Source organism: Homo sapiens, chromosome 7, assembly GCF_000001405.40.
Source record: "Homo sapiens chromosome 7, GRCh38.p14 Primary Assembly".
In the NCBI taxonomy this organism is placed as follows: domain Eukaryota; kingdom Metazoa; phylum Chordata; class Mammalia; order Primates; family Hominidae; genus Homo; species Homo sapiens.
Window position 1 is genome coordinate 5,730,443 of NC_000007.14, and position 21,123 is coordinate 5,751,565.

Sequence of the window (21,123 nt, forward strand, 5' to 3'; positions counted from 1 at the left end):
AGATATGGAGAATTCGTTCAATTCTTTGTGGGAAAAGGAAGATAAGAATTACAAGGAAAGATAGAAGTTAAAGACAGACAGAATTCAAAGTGGCTCAGACTGGGAGATCGCACTGAAGTATAGATATATTCTGAAATCCTATGTCCCTCGGCTAGTCTTTAAAAACTTGTCCCAACAAAGCACTTTCTTCCCACAGAGATAACAACAACAACAACAACAACAAAGCACAGCATTTCCAGGCAGTGACTGCAAAACATGAACATGACACTTGCCTTTGTCTCATCTTGGCTGGCCAGCAGACTGCTACTGGGATTTATAATGATTCTGTCTTCTCTCTTTGGATAATCTGGGTTTTCCAGAAGAAAATTACAAAGTCTGCAGAAACAAATGATGTTACTTTCATACTGCTTCCAAATCCCACACCTGCCCATTGCTTCAAATGCAATGGTTGAAGAATATAGTCCTTAGTCACACATTACAACTGGCCTATCAAGAAATTAAGATGTTTGTAGCCCAGAAAAACTAAACCAATAAACAAACAACTGCACTGAATTTCTATCTTTGTGAAAGACAAAAAAATTTAAAAAGCAATGAACATACTGATTAAGGCAAACTCCTCTGAAGTTTATGTATCAATTGGGTGTTAATGTAATGAAGTCACTGAAACTATTATTGGTTAAACTACAAAACTGGAAAATTTTAAGAAAAGCAGCTACTCTTTGTCGAGAAAACTATGAACAAGTAAGAAGTGGAAAACTGTGTGTTCACATTTACAGTAAAAAACAGTCTGCTAAGAGATGTAATAAATGAAATATAAAAGACCTTCTGTTAATTCATTAATACTTTTTATACCCCTGTGGTAACATAAATCTCTATGGTAATAATAAAGCTCTATGAGCCATTGAGTTACACGTGGTTTATTTAGCTAGCTGCCAAGCTAGACTGATGAACAGATCATGTTTTCCTATGAACAGACTCTCTTCACACAAAACCCACTAGCTTTGTCTATTATCACCATGAAATACTTCCAAAGTAAGGCTATATAGAGTGAGATAACACACACTGATGTATCACCACCCAGACCCAACACATGTTAACTATCCAGGCTCTTCACAGTCAAATCAGACAACCACCTTGGAACAACTGCACAGTAGTGCAGACAGAGTGGGTGGGGTACAGCTCTAGCCACATTCAGTAGCAAGGAAGCTTCTTTGCTCGGAGGGTAATGGGGACTTCCCCTTTTCTCTGTTCTTTCTCTTGCTCCAGTAGATTTCTAAGATGACCTCCTAGGTGCTATACCTGCAGTTCTCACACACTTCCCTTTCTACTGGTTCTCTTTTGCCAGATGTCAATAGTAAGGCCTGTAATAGTAGAACAGGAGGTCTGGCAGAAAGAGGGTAGAGAAAAAGTGCTCAGCTCTGCTCCTTTTCTCATCCAGGTGCCAGTGTTTGGGGACCGGTTTGGAGAGGTTCATTGATTCTGCAGCCCCCGCCGGGGACCCACGTCAAAGCCTTCTCCCTCATCCTGACATCTCAATGCATTTCCCTTTGCCGTTACTTCAGGAGTCCCATATACTCTTCATCTCTAAGCTCCCCGCTTCCCTACCACCACAGCCTGCCCAGTCCACGGAACACAACGCCTGAGGCCCAAAGAGAGGAAAAAAAGCAGCAAACTCCTCCTATTACAGAGGGCGACAAGAATTCAGAGTACATTTTCCTATAAAACCATTGTCATCAGTGGTAATTCTCCATCCTAGAATTCACTGGTGTGCACTGAGGTTATGCAAACCTTTGAAGGCTGACCTGAGAATTAGCCACCAGCAAAAATCGCGTCTGTAGGGAAAGGCCTGAGTTCCAGACAACTCATTACATGTGCATATTTGATGTGGCGACAAACCAGACACGGACTAGCTTTAAAATGGTCTGTTTTTACGTGTTTTCTCAAGTAAATGATACATAAATACACCTCTACATGAAATACAGATGGAACAGTAGATATGATTTCTTGAAAAAACAAAACATGTTTGAGAGGTTCATCTCTCCCCAATTCATTTTATATTTGCAACAATATTAAGAACTTCAAATACTGAAATGCTACAGACATGAAGTTCCACATGACAGAAATCAGAAGCTCTCACTATAAACTGTCAAAATTCATTTCTAGTTTAATCCCTTCATTATGTTTACCAACACAACTCTTCTGGAGGTTAAGTGACATTTGGAGGCACAGAAAATGAAGGACAAAGTTTTTCTTCTACAGAAACAAGTGGTAGCCTCTGTTCTAATATCTGCACCCTGGGGCAAAAGCAGTGGGGAAGCCTGTCGGACTTCAATCTGCCCACCTCTTCATATGACCTCATGTTTGAGCTGATCTGACATGCTAGCAGTTCTAGAGAAGTCACTCCTGCAAAGTAAGCCAGGCTAGTACTCCAACCTTTCAACCCTTAGATAGTTGTTGCTGCCTTCATCCAACTGAAGCTGACCACGTGTGAGTGAAAGGTCTAAGTTAACCAGCCAAAGTAGATTACCTGCCATGTGGTTCTCTAATGAATAGGCTTCCTGCTTAAAATGGCCAGACGGTTCCATCTGAAGGCCATTTAAAGATGCACATAAAGCAACTGAGACTGAGCTACAACAAAATCCCAGCCTGCTCAACTCAGCTTTGGGCCTTATTTCCAGTTTCCATTAACATTTTAGTTTAGTTGTGGAGTTAACACTGTCCTAGGAGTCCAGAGAATAATGGAAAGGAAAGCAGTGTCAGGAAAACAAGACTGGCTTGAAAAGATGCAATACAATGACTGTACATTCCCTTGCTTTTTGGATTTCACGAGAATTTTAATGTGTTTAAGGATCAGTGTTTGTTTCTGAGTGACACAAAAAGCACAGAGGGTCAGCAAGTCCCTAAAAATAAGTACACGTGTGAGACTCAGGAAGTAGGAGAACAGAACTGTAAGAGAAGGTATCAATTTGATTACGTTTTAGTGATTTTTCTAGACAATCTTGAAGATATATTTAAACATGATGTTCATTTGCAGAAGGAGAGAAAAACATTGAATATACTCAATTTCTATGAGGTTAAACTGTTAAAAAATACTAAAACATGGTATCTGGTATTCAAATCATTGTTCTATAAATGAGCTAAGTTTATACTTTTCTCTATCATTTACATTTTCTGTAATGAACAAACCTGTATTACATTTCATAACCAGGAAAACATTAACCAAAAAAAAAAAAAAAAGGAATTCAAAGAGAAGAGAGAAGTAAACAATTCACACGCAAGGGAAATACAATTAGTAAACAAATATTTGAAAAACACAGCCAATTAGCAAAGAAATGTCACTTATGCTACTTCATGCCTACTCTAGTTAACTACAAAAAATAACATCATAACTCAGTATTGTCGAAGAGTTGTTAAAGCAATTCACACATATAAGTTGCTTTTTAGATGAGTAGAAGCCTACAAGAAAGTTTTCATTGTAAAAATGTAGTCATTGCTGCTCAATTTTCCTATAAACCTAAAACTGCTCTAAAAAAATAAAGCTTAGTAATTTAAAAAAATGTAGTTATTATCATGCCACTTAGAAACCCAAAAAGAAAGTATTTTAAAAGCTTAGGAGGGGAAAAAAATCTCCAACAAACAATTCTGCTGGAAGACACAAACATAGCCAATAGGAAGGTGGATGCCAGGGTGTGGGGCAAGTAGAGTTCAGGAGACAAGCAGGAGAATGTTCACAGCTACATTATTTGTGACAGTCAGAACTCAAATGCCTATCAAAAGTAGATGGAAAATTTCATTGCTAAGTGGTATAAATGGAATACCATTTAGCAATGGAAAATATATAAACTGTGGTTCTACCCTACATGAATAAACTTAACATAATGCTGAGTGAAAAGAAATCAGACTCAAAAGACTATAGACTATACAAAATCTTTATGTAGTGTTCAAAAAGGATAGCAACGTTCTATTTCTTGAAGATTTCTGGGTTGTGGTTACACAAATGTTTGGTTTGTGATAAATTATTGAGCTGTGCATCTTTACTTTGTTCATTTTTCTTTATGTATATTATATTCTATAATAACCAAGTTTAAAAACTATACACAATAAAGAATATGTGGAAAGGCTTCAGAAGAGTGAGTAACTGGCATGTAAATAACCAAATGGCTTTCAAGGTTAAATACCCAGGTAGAGTCTGTCGTTGAAAAATAAAAAATGCTTTAAGAGTTTGGGTAATCCAAGCCAGGTGAGGTAACACATGCCTGTAATCCCAGCTATTCGGGAGACTGAGGCAGGAGAATCACCTGAACCTGGGAGGCGAAGGTTGCAGTGAGCTGAAATCATGCCACTGCACTCCAGCTTGGGCGACAAGGGCAAAACTCTCTCTCAAAATAAATAAATAAATAAATAAATAAATAAATAAATAAATAAAAGGTTTGCAGGGCATGGTGGCTCACGTCTCCCAGCACTTTGGGAGGCTGAGACAGTGGGATAACTTGAGGTCAGGAGTTCGAGACCAGCCTGGCCAACATGGTGAAACCCTATCTCTACTAAAAATACAAAAACTAGCTGGGCGGTGGGCACCTGTAATCCAAGCTACTCAGGAGGCTGAGGCAGAAGAATCGCTCGAACCCAGAAGACGGAGGTTGCAGTGAGCCAGGATCACGCCACTGCACTCCAGCCTGGGCAAGAGAGTGAGACTTCGTCTCAAAAAAAATAAATAAATAAAAAAGAGTTTGTGTAATCCAAAAACTTCAAGACAGGAGTCTAAAGTCGTTTCAAACTGACACTGCCCTTGGGGACTTGAAAGAAGCAAAAGCAATAATCTCTAAAGAAACCAACTCTATCAAGAACTCAAGATATGAGCTTAGAGTCAAATTTAGAAAATACACAAGAAAACTAGGCACCATGGGAGCCAGCAGGAAGAACAGAATATGATTCCCAAGAACTTAACATATCAGAACAATCAAACTCACAGAGAAGCTATGTTTATTGGTTAAAGAAATTAAAAAAAGATTAAAAATATAGGCAAAGAGCAAAACTCTAGGAAAATAACCAAGACAATTAAAAGCTAAAATTTCATAACTGAAAACCAGTAACACGGTAGATGAGTTAAAAGGAGATTACACTCTACTGAAGAGAAATTTGTGGGCTAAAAGAACACCCCTGAAGAAATCATCCAGAACGCATCTCAGAGACAAAGAGGTGGACTTAGAGACATGGAGATTGTGGGAGAAGAGTTACAGAAGACAGGAAACAGCTACAAAATTTCCAGAACTGACCAACACCACCAATCTATGGCCTGGTAGTGTACACTCTTAACGGTTTTGCCTTACTGACAAGCATGTTAAGTAAAATTGATAAAGATTAAGGGAAGGCCAGGTGCAGTGGGTCACACCTGTAATCCCAGCACTTTGGGAGGCCGAGGCAGATGGATCACCTGAGGTCAGGAGTTCAAGACCAGCCTGGCCAACATAGGGAAACTGTCTCTACTAAAAACACAAAAATTAGCCAGACATGATGGCGCATGCCTGTAATCCCAGCTACTTGGGAGGCTGAGGCAGGAGAATCACTTGAACCTGGGAGATGGAGGCTGCAGTGAGCTGAGATCACACCACTGCACTCTAGCCTAGGTGACAGAGTGAGACTCCGTCTCAAAAATAAATAAATAGCTCTCCCTCTCCCTGTCCCTGTCCCTGTCCCTCTCCCCACAGTCTCCCTCTGATGCCCAGCCGAAGCTGGACTGTACTGCTGCCATCTCTGCTCACTGCAACCTCCCTGCCTGATTCTCCTGCCTCAGCCTGCCGAGTGCCTGTGATTGCAGGTGCGCGCCGCCACGCCTGACTGGTTTTCGTATTTTTTTTTGGTGGAGATGGGGTTTCGCTGTGTTGGCCGGGCTGGTCTCCAGCTCCTAACCGGGACTGATCTGCCAGCCTCGGCCTCCCGAGGTGCCGGGATTGCAGATGGAGTCTCGTTCACTCAGTGCTCAGTGTTGCCCAGGCTGCAGTGCAGTGGCGCGATCTCGGCTCGCTACAACCTCCACCTCCCAGCCGCCTGCCTTGGCCTCCCAAAGTGCCGAGATTTCAGCCTCTGCCCGGCCGCCACCCCGTCTGGGAAGTGAGGAGCGTCTCTGCCTGGCCGCCCATCGTCTGGGATATGAGGAGCCCCTCTGCCCGGCTGCCCAGTCTGGGAAGTGAGGAGCGCCTCTTCCCGGCCACCATCCCTTCTAGGAAGTGAGGAGCGTCTCTGCCGGGCCACCCATCATCTGAGACGTGGGGAGCGCCTCTGCCCCGCCGCCCCATCTGGGATGTGAGGAGCGCCTCTGCCAGGCTGCGACCCCATCTGGGAGGTGAGCAGCGTCTCTGCCCGGCCGCCCCGTCTGAGAAGTGAGGAGCCCCTCCGCCCCGCAGCCACCCCATCTGAGAAGTGAGGAGCCCCTCCGCCCGGCAGCCGCCCCGTCCGGGAAGTGAGGAGCCCCTCCGCCCGGCAGCCGCCCCGTCCGGGAGGTGGGGAGCACCTCTGCCCGGCTGCCCCTTCTGGGAAGTGAGGAGCCCCTCTGCCCGGCCGCCACCCCGTCTGGGAGGTGTTCCCAACAGCTTATTGAGAACGGGCCATGATGACGATGACAGCTGTGTCGAATAGAAAAGGGGGAAATGTGGGGAAAAGATAGAGAAATCAGATTGTTGCTGTGTCTGTGTAGAAAGAAGTAGACATAGGAGACTCCATTTTGTTCTGTACTAAGAAAAATTCTTCCGCCTTGGGATGCTGTTGATCTATTACCTTACCCCCAACCCAGTGCTCTCTGAAACATGTGCTGTGTCCACTCAGGGTTAAATGGAATAAGGGCGGTGCAAGATGTGCTGTGTTAAACACATGCTTGAAGGCAGCATGCTTGTTAAGAGTCATCACCACTCCCTAATCTCAAGTACCCAGGGACACAAACACTGCGGAAGACCCCAGGGTCCTCTGCCTAGGAAAACCAGAGACCTTTGTTCACTTGTTTATCTGCTGACCTTCCCTCCACTATTGTCCTGTGACCCTGCCTAATCCCCCTCTGCGAGAAACAACCAAGAATGATCAATTAAAAATAATAATAATAATAATAATAATAAATAAATAAATATAAATCTGATGACAGTGGTTGCCTCTGTACAGAGGTGGGATCAGACAAGGCCACTAATGGCTCCAACAGTGTCATTGTACAAATTAGAAAAAAGTACCTACATTGGGCTAAGCACCTGGAAAGGGGCCCTTCCTTCTCAGCCTTGGCAGGGAAGAAACTCACCTGCAACCTTGACTGAGAACTACAGTATAAGATAGGAACTTTGGGGAAAGGTGTTTAGTGAACTATTTTGTTTAAATTTACCACCAGGCTGAGCACGGTGGCTTATGGCTGTAATCCCAGCACTTTGAGAGGTGGAGGTGAGCAGATCATGAGGTCAGGGTTTCAAGACCAGCCTGACCAACATGATGAAACCCTGTCTCTACTAAAAATACAAAAATTAGCCGGACAGGGTGGAGTACGCCTGTAATGCCAGCTACTCAGGAGACTGAGCAGGAGAACTGCTTGAACCTGGGAGGTGGAGACTGCTGTTTAAGCCAAGATCGCACCACTGCACTCTAGCCTGGGCAACAGAATAAGACTGTCTCCAAAAAAAAAAAAAAAAAAAAAAAAAAAAAATTACAATTATTTCACCTCTGCAGATTAGAAGGAGGGGAAAGAGTATATTTTTCATTTTATATTCTTCAGGAAAACTTATTTTTTAAAAAAGCATATTTACCACTTATAAAAAATTTTTTTAAAATAAGAGACAAGGTCCCACTCTGGCTCCCAGGCTGGAGTGCAGTAGCGTAACACAGCTCACTGCAGCCTTGAATTCCTGGACTCAGGCAATCCTCTTGCCTCAGCCTCCCAAAGTGCCAGAATTAAAGGTGTGAACCATATGTCTGGCCCGTATTTATCCCTTTTATAATGAAAATTAAGAAATATGGCTGGGAGCGGTGGCTCACACCTGTAATCCCAGCACTTTGGGAGGCCGAGGCGGGTGGATCACGAGGTCAGGAGATCGAGACCATCCTGGCTAACATGGTGAAACCCCATCTCTACTAAAAATACACAAAATTAGCCAGGCGTGCTGGCAGGCGCCTGTAGTCCCAGCTACTCGGGAGGCTGAGGCAGGAGAATGGCCTGAACCTGGGAGGCGGAGCTTGCAGTGAGCCGAGATCGCACCACTGGACTCCAGTCTGGGAGACAGAGTGAGACTCCGTCTCAAAAAAAAAAAAAAAAAAAAAAAAATGCTTCCATGTATTTCTCCAAACAGAGTGGTTGCAGAACATTTTGTTACAATCGTAGGGAAGAAAATGTCTTAACATCTTGACTAAAACACAGGTAGTATCAACGCTTAGAAACAACTCAGTTATCATAATTCTATAACCATGCAGTATTCCATAAAATCCAGAAAACAGTCTGTGTATCACTAATGTCAGAACGAACAAGGTCATTAAAAAAGACATAATGCCAAGTGAAATAAGCCAGTCAGAAAAGAACAAACACATGAGGTCCCTGATAGTAGCCAAATCCATATAGAAAGAAAGTAGGATGGTGGGTGCCACTGGCTTGGGAAGGGGATGGGGAGTGAGTGTTTAATGCGGACAGAGTTTCAGTTTGAGAAGATGAAAGAGTTCTGAAGATGGATGGTGGTGATAGTTGCATAATAATGTGAATTTACTTAACAACACCAAATTGTATATTTAAAAATGATTAAAATGGTAAATTTTTTATTACATATATTTTACCACCACCACCACCACCACAAAAAAAGCATGGTAGTATACTTACACATTCAGATCATAATAATTCTTAAAATGAATTATTTCCTCAATAAACCCATTTGCTACATCTGGAAATCTTGCTTCCTAGAAACAAATAAGAACATAATTTATATTTCATTCACTAGAATGGTTTCAAATGGCAATACAAGACAGATGGCAAAAAGTATAATAAAATGACTAAAGACTAGAAAAGGGCTGTGAAGCAGGTCTGTGTGTGTCTTCAAATTCAACACTAGTTCCCAGATTCATCTGTCTACATAGAAGATGAGGTCTAGAAAGGTCTTGAGAGATCTGGTTCTCTGTCCCCATTTTACAGATCCATTCTTCATTGCTTCAACAAATATTGAGCATCTCTGTCTAGACAAAGGGAATCCAAACACAAATAAGTTACAATCTCATGCCAGCCCTCAAGCAGCACACAACCTAGTGCCTAGATAAAAACACCTGGGTGGCCGGGTGCAGTGGCTCATGCCTATAATCGAAGCACTTTGGGAGGTCGAGGCAGGCGGATCACCTGAGGTCAGGAGTTCAAAACCAGCCTGGCCAACATGGTGAAACCCCGTCTCTACTAAAAAAATACAAAAATTAGCCAGACGTGGTGGTATGTGCCTGTGATCCCAGCTACTCGGGAGGCAGAGACAGAAGAATCGCTTGAACCCAGGAGGCGGAGGTTGCAGTGAGCTGAGATCGCACCACTGTACCCCAGCCTGGGTGACAGAGTGAGACTCGGTCTCAAAAAAAAAACAAACCAAAAACAAAACAAAAAAAACCCGCCTGGGTAAAGTAGGGTTAACGGACTTGTTTGAAGGCAAATAGTGGCTACCAGATGTAACACCTTTTTTTTTTTTTTTTTTTTTTTTTTTTTTTTTTTTTTGTGAGATAGAGTCTCACTCTGTCGCCCAGGCTGGAGTGCAGTGGCACGATCCTGACTCACTGCAAGCTCTGCCTCCTGGGTTCACACCATTCTCCTGCCTCAGCCTCCCAAGAAGTTGGGACTACAGGCGCCCGCCACCACGCCCGGCTAATTTTTAATTTTTTTAGTAGAGACAGGGTTTCACCGTGTTAGCCAGGATGGTCTTGATATCCTGATCTTGTGATCCACCCACCTTGGCCTCCCAAAGTGCTGGGATTACAGGTGTGAGCCAGCACGCCCAGCCCTTGTGTTACTCTTAATATCACCACTAATAGAACTTTGTTGGATGACAGAAACACTGTCCTCCATGCTTGATGATGAGGTAAGCTGTTAGCCTCATGTGGCTACTAAGGTTAAGATGTGACTGATGCCACTGGAAAATTTTATTTAACTGTAAGACATTTAAATGTAAACAGCCACAAGGAGCTAGTAAGTGCCATATTGGACAGCATAGGTCTAGGTAATTCAATAAAACTGCTTTAAGGGTTTCCATTTGGAGTGAACTCAAGGAATTTGAAAAAAACAAGGGACTGCAGGTATGACAGCACCAGGCCACCATGATATGCAGTTAGAATCCCAGAGAGCTTCCTGAAGGTTAAGTATAGTAAAGGAACCCTGATTCCATTTTCATGTCTTCAGAGTGTCTCTTCTATTCTGTACATCTAGATATATACTTCTTAGGAAAATGAAGTCCACGCATACCAACAACTTTTTTTTTTGCAATGAAAAAAAAAAAAGAAAAAAACTCAGTATATGTAGTGTCTACATTTACTTGATAAAATAAAACTTACCGTTTCTTTCACTAGTAGTTCAACGAGCTCTTGATCTACCTCTGCAGCTTCTTGCCCCCAAATGTTTTCCAAATTGGGCTCTTGAGATTCTTGCATTGGAAAGGCTGGACCTGGCTCTTCATCATCACTTGCTAACTGCTGGTCTTCAAACTCTCCTAGAGGATGGGCAGGCTGAGGAGAAGAGGGGCCTGAAATCCCACCTTGCTGGGGTTCCGGCCTTGGAAAAGCGGGCCCTGGGAATTCATGCTGAAACAACAAGCGGCCCAGTTCTGCTTCAGGCTGCCGTTCCTGAGGAACGACCTGGTTTGTTATTTCACGGGGCTGTTGGTTCAGAGACTGGAAGTAAGGATGATCTAACCAGCAGTCTTCTTCGATGGCCTGATCATCTGCTAGAGCAGCTGACTCTCCTAGATTTGATAACAGCTCTGTCTCTGAGTCTTCGGATGACTGGTTCTGAGTTTCCAAAGGATCGCTTTCTGTGTAAAGAAGGCTACCTTCTTCCAAGATGATGACTTTCTGCTCTGATCTGGGGTTGACAATGTCATTTGCTGCTTGGTTATGACTCGGTCCAGGCTTGGGTTCTCTTTCTGTTTGGCCACTTGGCTTAGTGAATTCAGAGATTCCAGGAGGCCCAAGATCCAGAAATTCACCGTAGTCATCCTCAGAATCATCCTGTGCCCCAGAATCAAACAATGGGTTGTTACACACTGAAAAATAGCTGCTCTTATCTGATTCAAATGCTGCTCTAGACTTTTTAGGCCTTTCTTCTCCCAACCTTTTCAGATCTTGCCACTGGGCAGCTGGTTTGATGAGATTGGGTCGTGATCTCTGAGGTTTATTTGTCTAAGAAAAAATGAAATTTTAATAATTCAATTTCTTTCCTATGCCTATCCCTCCTTATGTACTTATATTGAGCTTCCGAGATAGGACAGGAAAGAAACAAAAACACCATCTCCCTTAACAATACCTATTCTTTACATTTATCTTAACACTGAAATTTGATTACACTATATACTATCTGTAAGAATCAAAGTAGTCATTCATAGATTAAAGCTTGAGATATAGTTTGAATTATAATTTATTTTTATTTTTGAGACACAGTTTTCCTCTGCTACCCAGGCTGGAGTGCAATGGTGCGATCTCGGCTCACTGCAACCTCTGCCTCCCGGGCTCAAGCAACTCTTGTGCCTCAGCCTCCCAAGTAGCTGGGATTACAAAAATGTGCCAACATGTCCAGCTAATTTTTGTGTTTCTAAGAGAGATGGGGTTTTGCCATGTTGGCCACGCTCGTCTCAAACTCCTGGCCTCAAGTGATCCGCCTCCCTCAGCCTCCCAAAGTGCTGGGATTACAGGCATGAGCCACTGAACCCAGCCCTGAATTATAATTTAACCTGAGACTACTAAAACAAAAATAACTCCACAGCAGATACAACAATGAAAGAATGCTAACACATCAGAAGAATAAGAAATGTTCAAAAAACATATAAAAAAATCTAAATCTCATTAGTAACTAGCAAAATGAAAAATTAAAACAAGACAGTATTTTTTTCCCTGTAAGACCGGCAAACTTTTAAATTAGATAATACCAAGCATTGGTGAGGATGGTGAAAAATCTTTTTTTTTTTTTTTTTTTTTTTTTTTGAGACAGAGTCTCGCTCTATTGCCCAGGCTGGAGTGCAATGGCATGATCTCAGCTCACTCCAACTTCTGCCTCCCAGGTTCAAGCAATTATCCTGCCACAGCCTCCCGAGTAGCTGGGATTATAGGCGCACACCTCTACATCCAGCTAATTTTTCTATTTTTGTTAGAGACAGGGTTTTGCCATGTTGGCCAGGCTGGTCTTGAACTCCTGACCTCAGATGACTGGCCCACCTCAGCCTCCCAAAGTGCTGGGATTACAGGTGTGGGGCACCGCGCTTGGCCGATGTGTGAAAATTCTTATACTATCATTTACTGCTGGTGAATTTAGGAGAGAAATTTGGCACTATTTATTAAAATAAAAAACGTAGGCCAGGCGTGGTGGCTCATGCCTGTAATCCCAGCATTCAGGGAGGCCAAGGCAGGCGGATCACGAGGTCAGGAGATCGAGACCATCCTGGCCAACATGGTGAAAATCCGTCTCTACTAAAAATACAAACATCAGCTGGACATGGTGGCGTGTGCCTGCAATCCCAGCTACTCGGGAGGCTGACGGAGCAGAATTGCTTGAACCAGGGAGTCAAGAGGTTGCAGTGAGCCAAGATGGTACCACAGCACTCCAGCCTGGAGACAGAGCAAGACTCTGTCTCAAATAAATAAATAAATACACAAATACATAAATATAAATAAAAAATGTATGTCTGTCATCATTTTTTCATACTGTTCTATAAACTCTATCGAAAAAGGGCATATACAAGAATATTCAGCATAAACAGAAAAAAGCCTAGAGACATTGTGAAGTTTGTCCCTGAGTGAATGGTTAAATAAACTATTACTTATTTGTTCTACAAAATACTCTACAACTGACCCCTACCAAAAAAAGAGGTAGCTCAGTCTGTACTGAAATGGGAAGCTTCACTAAGAAATGCCATTAAGTGAAGAAAAGCAAGCTGCAAAATCATACACAGAATGATTCCATTTACTTAAAATATGTCAATAAGACACAAACAAAATCATTTCTAAAAGTATGTATATGTACCCACATGTATATACACATGGATACATACAAATTCAAAGAAAAGACCTGGAAGGATACATGCTAAACTGGTAACAACAGTTCCTCTGGGAAGTCCCTAGAAGAAAGGAGATGGTGAATCTCAGGCTTTAGGGTGGGTCCCTGAGGACTATGCCACTGAAGTAAGGGCCAAGCTGGAAATACCCTGGACCTCCCAGGAACTGAATCGCAGCGTGGAGAGTTTAACTCCCTGAATGTGAGGTGCTGGTGCTCTTACTCTTCTTCAAGAAACCAATTAAGATCCTCTATAGAGAAACAACATCATACAGAATCCCAAAATTTTCATATACAATGACTTACACTCAATCAAAAATAACTAGGCATACAAGAACTTAATGCAGCAACAGAAAATCAAAACAAGAGAAGTAACAGACAACAGAAACAAATATACAAGGGTTTCACACAGTGAAATTAACAACATGAATTCTAAAGTAACAGCATGTTTAGGGAAATCAAAGACTAGATTGAGAACTGCAGCCAAGAAGAAGAAGAATCGAACGCAAATTCCAGAATGGAAAAATACAATAACTAATACAAAAACTAAAAATACAATAACTAATGCTACATATGGATATATAGCATTTTAAGTAAATACAGTTGAAGAGAGAAATTAGTGCATTGAAAGCCAGGTCAGAATAGCCATAGTAAGGCATAGACAAAATGCAACATTAGATAAGAGAACACGTCAAGAACAAAAAGGTCTTCAAAACACATAACTGGAGTTGTAGAAGAGAAGAAGCTGTTTCTTTGGTAGAGGAGGAGGAAGGAAAACAAGGGAGGGAAGGGAAGGAGGGGGACACATAATGGTTAGTTCAAATAACCATTCGAACTAAATAAGGGAAAAAACATAAGGAGTCACAGATTAAGACAAAGTAGAACAACAGTCTGTTTTGTTTAATTCTATAGAATATATTCAAAACCTCAAAGAATACATTGGTTCTGAAGACTCTACAAAACAAACAAACAAACAAAAAACAACCCTCGAAGAAATAAAGAAAACTTCTGGCTAGGCACGGTTGGCTTATGCCTATAATCCCAGCACTTTGGGAGCCTGAGGCAGATGGATCACCTGAGGTCAGAAGTTTGAGACCAGCCTGACCAACATGGTGAAACCCCATCTCTACTAAAACTACAAAATTAGCTGGGAGTGGTAGCGCATGCCTGTAATCCCAGTTATTTGGGAGGCTGAGGCAGCAGAATCACTTGAACCTGGGAGGCAGAGGTTGCAGTGAGCCAAGATCGCGCCATTGCACTCCAGCCTGGGTGACAGAGCAAAACTCCCATCTCCAAAAAGAAAAAAAAAAAAGAAAACTTCTAAACTTTTTATGAAGTCAGAATCATGCTTATAAAAAAATAAACATGTCAAGGATATCATACGTACACACAAACCTACGGGCCAATCTCCACCTGTAAGATCTACGGAGAAAACACTAATATTAGCAAATGGAATCCCCAGCAGCACATTACTACTACATTACAATGCCACAACCAAGGGGAGTCTTTTCAAAGACAATAACTTACCAACTAAGAGGTCAAGGAAGAAAAACCACATGACAATCTCTGTAAGATGCTGAAATTGAATGTAACAGAATCCTACATTCACTTCTAAAAAAATTTTTTTAAGTCAAAGTAAATGACTAGTTCCTTAACATAACTAAAGAAATGGTATCTAAAGCAAAAAGGCACCATCACATTTAATGAAGAAACATTAAGTATTCCCATTTATGTCTGTGGCCATTCGTGCTCTTCTCTATCAACACTATTAAAATTTTTGAGGAAGTACCGTAATATAATTAGACACGTGAAAGAAGCATAAAAATTGGAAAGACAGATCAGATGCACGTTTTCAAGAAATTAAGAGTCAACTGAAAAATCACTACAGATAATAATGGTAAGGTGATTGAGTATAAAATTAATGTAAAAAGCAACAAGGGCAGGGCACGGTGGCTCACGCCTGTAATCTCAGCACTTTGGGAGGCTGAGGTGGGTGGATAACTTGAGGTCAAGAGTTAGAGACCAGCCTGACCAACATGGTGAAACCCCATCTCTACTAAAAACACAAAAATCAGCCGGGTGTGGTGGCACACACCTGTAATCCCAGCTACTCTCGGGAGGCTGAGGCAGGATAATTGCTTAAACTCGGGATGTTGCAGTGAGCCGAGATCAGGCCACTGCACTCCAGCCTGGGTGATAGATTGAGACTGTCTTAAAAAAAAAAAAAAAAAAAGAGCAACGAGAACACTTACTCTCCATTTTGGAATGAAGCATTGCCTGATGCTAGACTCACAATAAAGACAGTTGAGATCCTTACACTAAATTTGTTGTAATTTTGTCCTTTGACAGGTCTGGCAACCCAAAGGGACAGAGACTGTTGATATCTTGAGGTAACTCAAGGAACACAGGAAAAACGGCTAACTCCCTTTTTTGGGAAGTAACGTTTTCCTCATGGAGCTGCAAGTGTCGGAAGTCCTTCTCAGGTCTGAGCTCTGCTGTCTTTTTAGCACCTGGTCTCTTTGACTTTGAGGGTACCAAGGTTAGGCTGCACTGTGAGAGAGCATTTGACTTTGCAGTACCTAGGGTTAATCTGGGCTATGGCAGGGCACAGGACTTTTGGGAATGTGGGGGCTCACAAATCACTGGCAATAACTGTATTTTTTGCTCCCTCTTTGCAGAGGTCTTTACGGCTTGAGTCAAGCCCCCAAGATTATGGCCAGACAGAAATGTGGGTGCAACTCCATTTGCTGCTAGCATACAGGGGTGCAGTTTTAAAGCTAACTGATACCAGCTGTGTTGAGTGCAGGGAGGGTATAAACTCAGGCTTTTGGAATCTGTGGGTATGTGGATTCCTTTTCTTGCAGGCTTAGGTGAGGGAGGCCTCAGGTGTCTTGACTGAGTCAGATGGAAACTGCAAAGTGATTGGCTAGGTAGGACATCTTGGAGCCAACGTCATCCCGGTCCTGAGATATACAAGGTCCAACATAAAAACAGCATCCCTAATTTCTAAAAATTGGAGTACTCTGCCTTCTGGTAGTCTTGCCTTTTCATGTATAAAACTTCTGGCTCCAGAAGCTACAAATAGTTACACAAGTGGCAAAACTTTACCAAAAATAATTCAGAATTATGATGACCATGATGTGGAATGTTCCAGATGAAAAAGAGTGTTCATCCAAGAAATTCACTTGAATCCTAAGACTCCAAATTACACGGAGAGAACGAGATTCTTACTGGCATTCAGAAGCCTCAAAGAGACAACAGAATTCTAAAATAGCTTTTTTGAAAGATTAACTGCAAAAAGCTAATGAAAAACTAGAAACGCAAGATTACCTCCCACACCAAAGACAGATAAACTAATGTAACTCCTACTGCTCCCATTTTACCTGAATACTGCATCTACTCCTGAATATTCACAGTCTACTAACTCTGAGTTGCCTTTCTTCTCTGAAAAGAACAGTTCAACTGTTTCCTTATAAAACAGAACAACCTGAAAATGTAGCATGAAATTCCTGACTTACATGCTACGGATAAAAACAGGTCATAGTTTAAAAATGTCCTAAACCTGGGGAAGACTTTCAGACATTTTTTAAAGAATTCAGAGTCTTAATTATAACTTATGATCCTAGGATACCTGACTTATTACCAGCTAACACATGGTGGGACCAGGGGAAGGAGAGGGAGTAAAAACGGATAAAAGCAGCAGAAGCAGAATATTATTTTCCTGAGGATGATATTCAGGACCTGACAAGTACTATCCAGTCTACTTATGGGCCAGGCAAAGCCTGAAATATCAGACGTGACCCTTAGAAAGCCATTTCCAAAATGTTTCAGCTCTACGGTGTTATCTGAAAGCAAAATAGATGCCCCTTTATAAACTAAGACAGATCCTAAGGTTTTGTCTGTTTTTTAAAAATTAGAGACAAAGGTCATGCACGGTGGCACACACCTGTAATCCTAGCTACTCTGGAGGCTGAGGCACAAGAATCACTAAACCTGGGACGTGCATGTTGCAGTGAGTCAAGATTGCACCACTGCATCCTGGCCTGGGCAACAGGAGACTCCATCTCAAAAAAAAAAAAAAAAAAAAAAAAAAAAAGGGGAAAAAAAAAGAAAAAATAAATAATAACTAGATACAAGGTCCCAGGCTGAAGTATAGTGGCACAATCATAGCTCACTACAGCCTTGAATTCCTGAGCTCAAGTGATCCTCCTGCTAGGCCTCTCAAAGGACTGAGATTACAGGTTTTGAGCCACTGTGTCTGCCCTGACCCTTAAGGTTAAGGAAACAAAAATCACCTATGAGGTCAGGGTTCAGGGTGACTGGTATAGCAACTCCCTAAATTCCTATGCTCCAAGAAAAATCAAACTGTTGCTAAGCTCCATACCAATAGGCGGTATCAGGCAAATATCAGACCCCTCCCTAACTCTGATTTACAACCCAGAAACCCACTACAACTCTTAACACAGACAGAGGACTGGCCTTACAAACATCGTTTTCTGATGAACTACTACATATAGATCTTAAACCAGTTTCTGCCAGCTTATAGAGGCTGCACACAAACTGTCTTTGTGCCCTACAGTTCACCTTTTGAAGGAAAAAGCCAAATTCCACCTCATTTTAATGCTGAAACTCTACCCCAGGGAAGCTCTGGTTAGTCTTTGGCAGTCCTGAAGTCAGTAACTCATTAAGAAACAAGCTAAATTCCAAGTAGCTGGGATTATAGGTGCTCACCACCATGCCCAGCTAATTTTTGTATTTTTAGTAGAGACGGGGTTTCACCATCTTGGCCAGACTGGTCTTGAACTCTTGGCCTTGGCCTCCCAAAGTGCTGGGATTATAGGCGTGAGCCACCGTGTCCAGTTTCTTTATGATTTTCTTAACCTTTCCTCAGCTTACTTTATTATAAGAATGCAGTATATTTTTTATATACATACACACACACACACACACACACACACACACACACACACACACACACATAATATACTAACTAAAGCATGTTAACCATGTTATTGGTCAACAGTATGCTATTAGTAGTTAAGTAGTTATTAAGTAGTACTAAGTAGTTAAGGCTTTGGTCAACAGTATGCTATTAGTACTTAAGTTTTTGGGGAGTCAAAAGTTATATGCAGATTTTAAACTGCACAGGGGTTGGCACCCCTAACCACCATGTTGTTCAAGTGTAAACTGTATTTGAAAACTGGCAAATAAAGAATTTTAACGAAGGCTATAAGATCTGCTTCTCTGTGTCTCCGTGTCTATATATGCGTTATGTGTGTGTGGTATTTCTCTACCAAAATATATGAGAGAACTCTGATAATCGGTTTAAGGAAAAAGGAAGCACTTCAATCTTTTATCAGAAAAACAGGACCTAACTCCAATGCCTTTTAGTTCACGTGACTTAGGTATTTTTGGTAAGTAAGACCATTTGGAAAACAGCTGTGTTCTGATCAGCAAAAATGCCCATGTATTTTTTTTTTTTTTTTTTTGAGACAGGGTCTCCCTCTGTCATACAGGCTAGAGTGCAGTGGCGTGATCTTGGCTCACTGCAACCTCCATCTCCTGGGTTTAAGCGATTCTACTGCCTCAGCCTCCTGAGTAGCTGGAATTACAGGCACGTGCCACCATGCCTGGTTAATTTTTGTATTTTTAGTAGAGACGAGGTTTCACCATGTTGGCCAGGCTGGTCTCGAACTCCTGACCTCAAGTAATCCACTCGCCTCGGCCTCCCAAAGTGCTGGGATTACAGGCGTGAGCCACCACGTCGGGCCTATATGGATGTTTTTTATATTCCAAGATTAGATAAAGTTCCTAGAAATCTGATATGTCTTGGTATAAATGCTATCAGTCATAATTTTGGTTCAGAAATAACTAAATTTCCTTGTCAACTGTGTCATTATAATGAACTCTCATCAGGTTTTTAACCACAGCCATTTTAAGTCTTGCTGTCCACAGTTATTTTGTTCTGACACTTTCTGAAAGCTCTTTGCAAGCAATTATAATCCTAAAGTGCTGTGTGTTCAAAGATGTATATGCGAAAAATGAAACGAACTCTGACAAATACAAGTTTGAGTTCGTACTATCGGACTAAATATCCAAAATTCTAATGAAGAAACTAATGGATTTGTGTAACTGCTAACCAAGATCAAACAGCAAAAATTAATTACATGAGACTGAATTGATAAAAGAAGAATCATGGGTTTTTATGGCTTCTTTATTTGAAACACTGCTGGTTCTTTTAATGTTTTGTTTTCCAGATTTAAGGAAACTTTTTTCTTTTAAGGTTATTATAGCTTATAGCAATTTGGTATACTTTTATAATAAAAATAAAAATATTTGCTTTTCCTCCCAACAGGATCCCTCCAGAATTTGCAAACTATTCATGAGTATTCTTATTTTTATGGCAATATCATTATTTGCATATCTGTCCTTTTAATAAAAGGACACAACTGGAAACTGGTTATGTTACCAAGGCTTTGACTGGAATGCCATATTTCAAAATGTGCAAACAATGCCTGGCTTTAAGCATTCCCTGTCTTACAGTGAGTAAATCTGTCTCTTCCTGGCAGGCTCAGGAACCTCCAGATGCTGGATACAGCACACAAAGACTAATGTCTGCCCTGGTTTGGTTTCCTAGCAGAGACATTTTTTAAAGACCAATTTGAGATTCCTCATCAAAATTTCCAGCAAAGCAAATTTAAATATGTGCTTTCAAATATGTGGTTAGTCAGGCAAACTGGTCTTACTGTGATTATCTTTGGTAGAAATGGGAGTGACTTAGAGAGGAAAATTACATTTCAAAAGAAAACTCCAGTATGCCTGTTATTTAGATTGCAGCACTGTTCACTGAGTTTTTATTATCTACCTGTTAGATAGCAGGAACCTGCTTAGTTCCTGAAGCCCTATAAGCTGAAGCTGGACAAATCTACGCAAATCGCAAGGAATAAGTCTCATGCCTAATGCATGGGCCACACAGAGTTCACTAGGATGGCCAATGCCACAACCAGAGACATTCACAACAGCAAACCACATTGGAGCAAGACTCCCCCTCATAAATGTGAGACTCTTACTCTCCTTAATCTTTCCTTACTTATGCCTCTCACGTGGCAGGACAACGTTGCAGTGAAAATTTCACCATCAGTAGTAGCCTCTGCAGATAACCTGCACTCCCCGCTTTAATTTAACCCAGTCATGGGATGCGAGATTACCTACTAACTCAACAGAGAAGATTCTGTGCAGTTGATGGCGCTTCTTGCTTGCACACAGATAAAACACAGCAAGTATTGCAGAGCAGACTACTTGGTTAAAACAAGGTAGACTCCTTGTCTAGCTATTTGGTTTTAGTTGGGGCCCTAGCCGAGGAGCAGCCTCCACCCAAACTCTGGGTATTACCCTCCTTAGAGTCCTAACGGCAGTCTCCTTGGTGTGCTGTGCACCCTCAGAAAGTTTTAAATGTTTCCATACAGCTACCTGTCAAATGCCAAATGGTCTTTCTCCAGCTGGAACAACAACAACAAAAAAAAGTGTGATAATGAGGACACCAGAACCTATAAAGTATATGCTGGGACCAGAAACCCAAAATGATGGTAACTGAGAGTGGCACTGATGCCCGAAGGTTTGGTCAGGTCCTGGGTGAAAGCCTAACAAAAAGGGAGGAATTGTTAAATAAAAATTATAGGAGGCCACTGTTTTGGACTAAGTGTGTGCACTAGACCCCAAAAGACCAGACTAAAACTCAAAACGGAAGCATCCATGTAAGTTTCATACTACCAAACCTAAACCTGGGAAGTTCATTTGATCTTCCTAGAAATTGAAAGAAAGAGTGAACAACCAGTTTCTTAAACAGGGCAGTTTAAATCTTCATTGGGAATCATAATGAATTTCCC

The 21,123-nt window shown here is 41.7% G+C and overlaps 1 protein-coding gene across 10 annotated transcripts in view, besides 2 other annotated features; it reads right to left on the bottom strand.

Moving 5' to 3' along the window:
• The window catches only part of RNF216 (ring finger protein 216), a 161,617-nt gene that overhangs the window by 110,396 nt on the left and 30,098 nt on the right, over positions 1-21,123 (bottom strand). For 6 of the 10 annotated variants that reach the window (NM_207111.4, XM_047420525.1, XM_005249785.3 and 3 more), the window contains 3 exons: positions 10,531-11,373; positions 8,834-8,910; positions 273-375 (listed from right to left, as the gene is read on the bottom strand). In NM_207111.4, coding sequence (NP_996994.1) covers positions 273-375; positions 8,834-8,910; positions 10,531-11,373 — 1,023 coding nt within the window. The remainder of the gene's footprint in view (positions 1-272; positions 376-8,833; positions 8,911-10,530; positions 11,374-21,123) is intronic. The other 4 variants (NM_207116.3, NM_001377156.1, XM_047420526.1 and 1 more) reach the window with 2 other exon arrangements.
• Positions 5,428-5,929: an enhancer, noted in NCBI's record as "H3K4me1 hESC enhancer chr7:5775501-5776002 (GRCh37/hg19 assembly coordinates)". NCBI's record gives its function as "activates a minimal SCP1, AML or CMV promoter by ChIP-STARR-seq in primed H9 embryonic stem cells {active_cell/tissue: H9 hESC(primed)}" and the evidence as "EXISTENCE:reporter gene assay evidence [ECO:0000049][PMID:30033119]".
• Positions 5,930-6,429: an enhancer, noted in NCBI's record as "H3K4me1 hESC enhancer chr7:5776003-5776502 (GRCh37/hg19 assembly coordinates)". NCBI's record gives its function as "activates a minimal SCP1, AML or CMV promoter by ChIP-STARR-seq in primed H9 embryonic stem cells {active_cell/tissue: H9 hESC(primed)}" and the evidence as "EXISTENCE:reporter gene assay evidence [ECO:0000049][PMID:30033119]".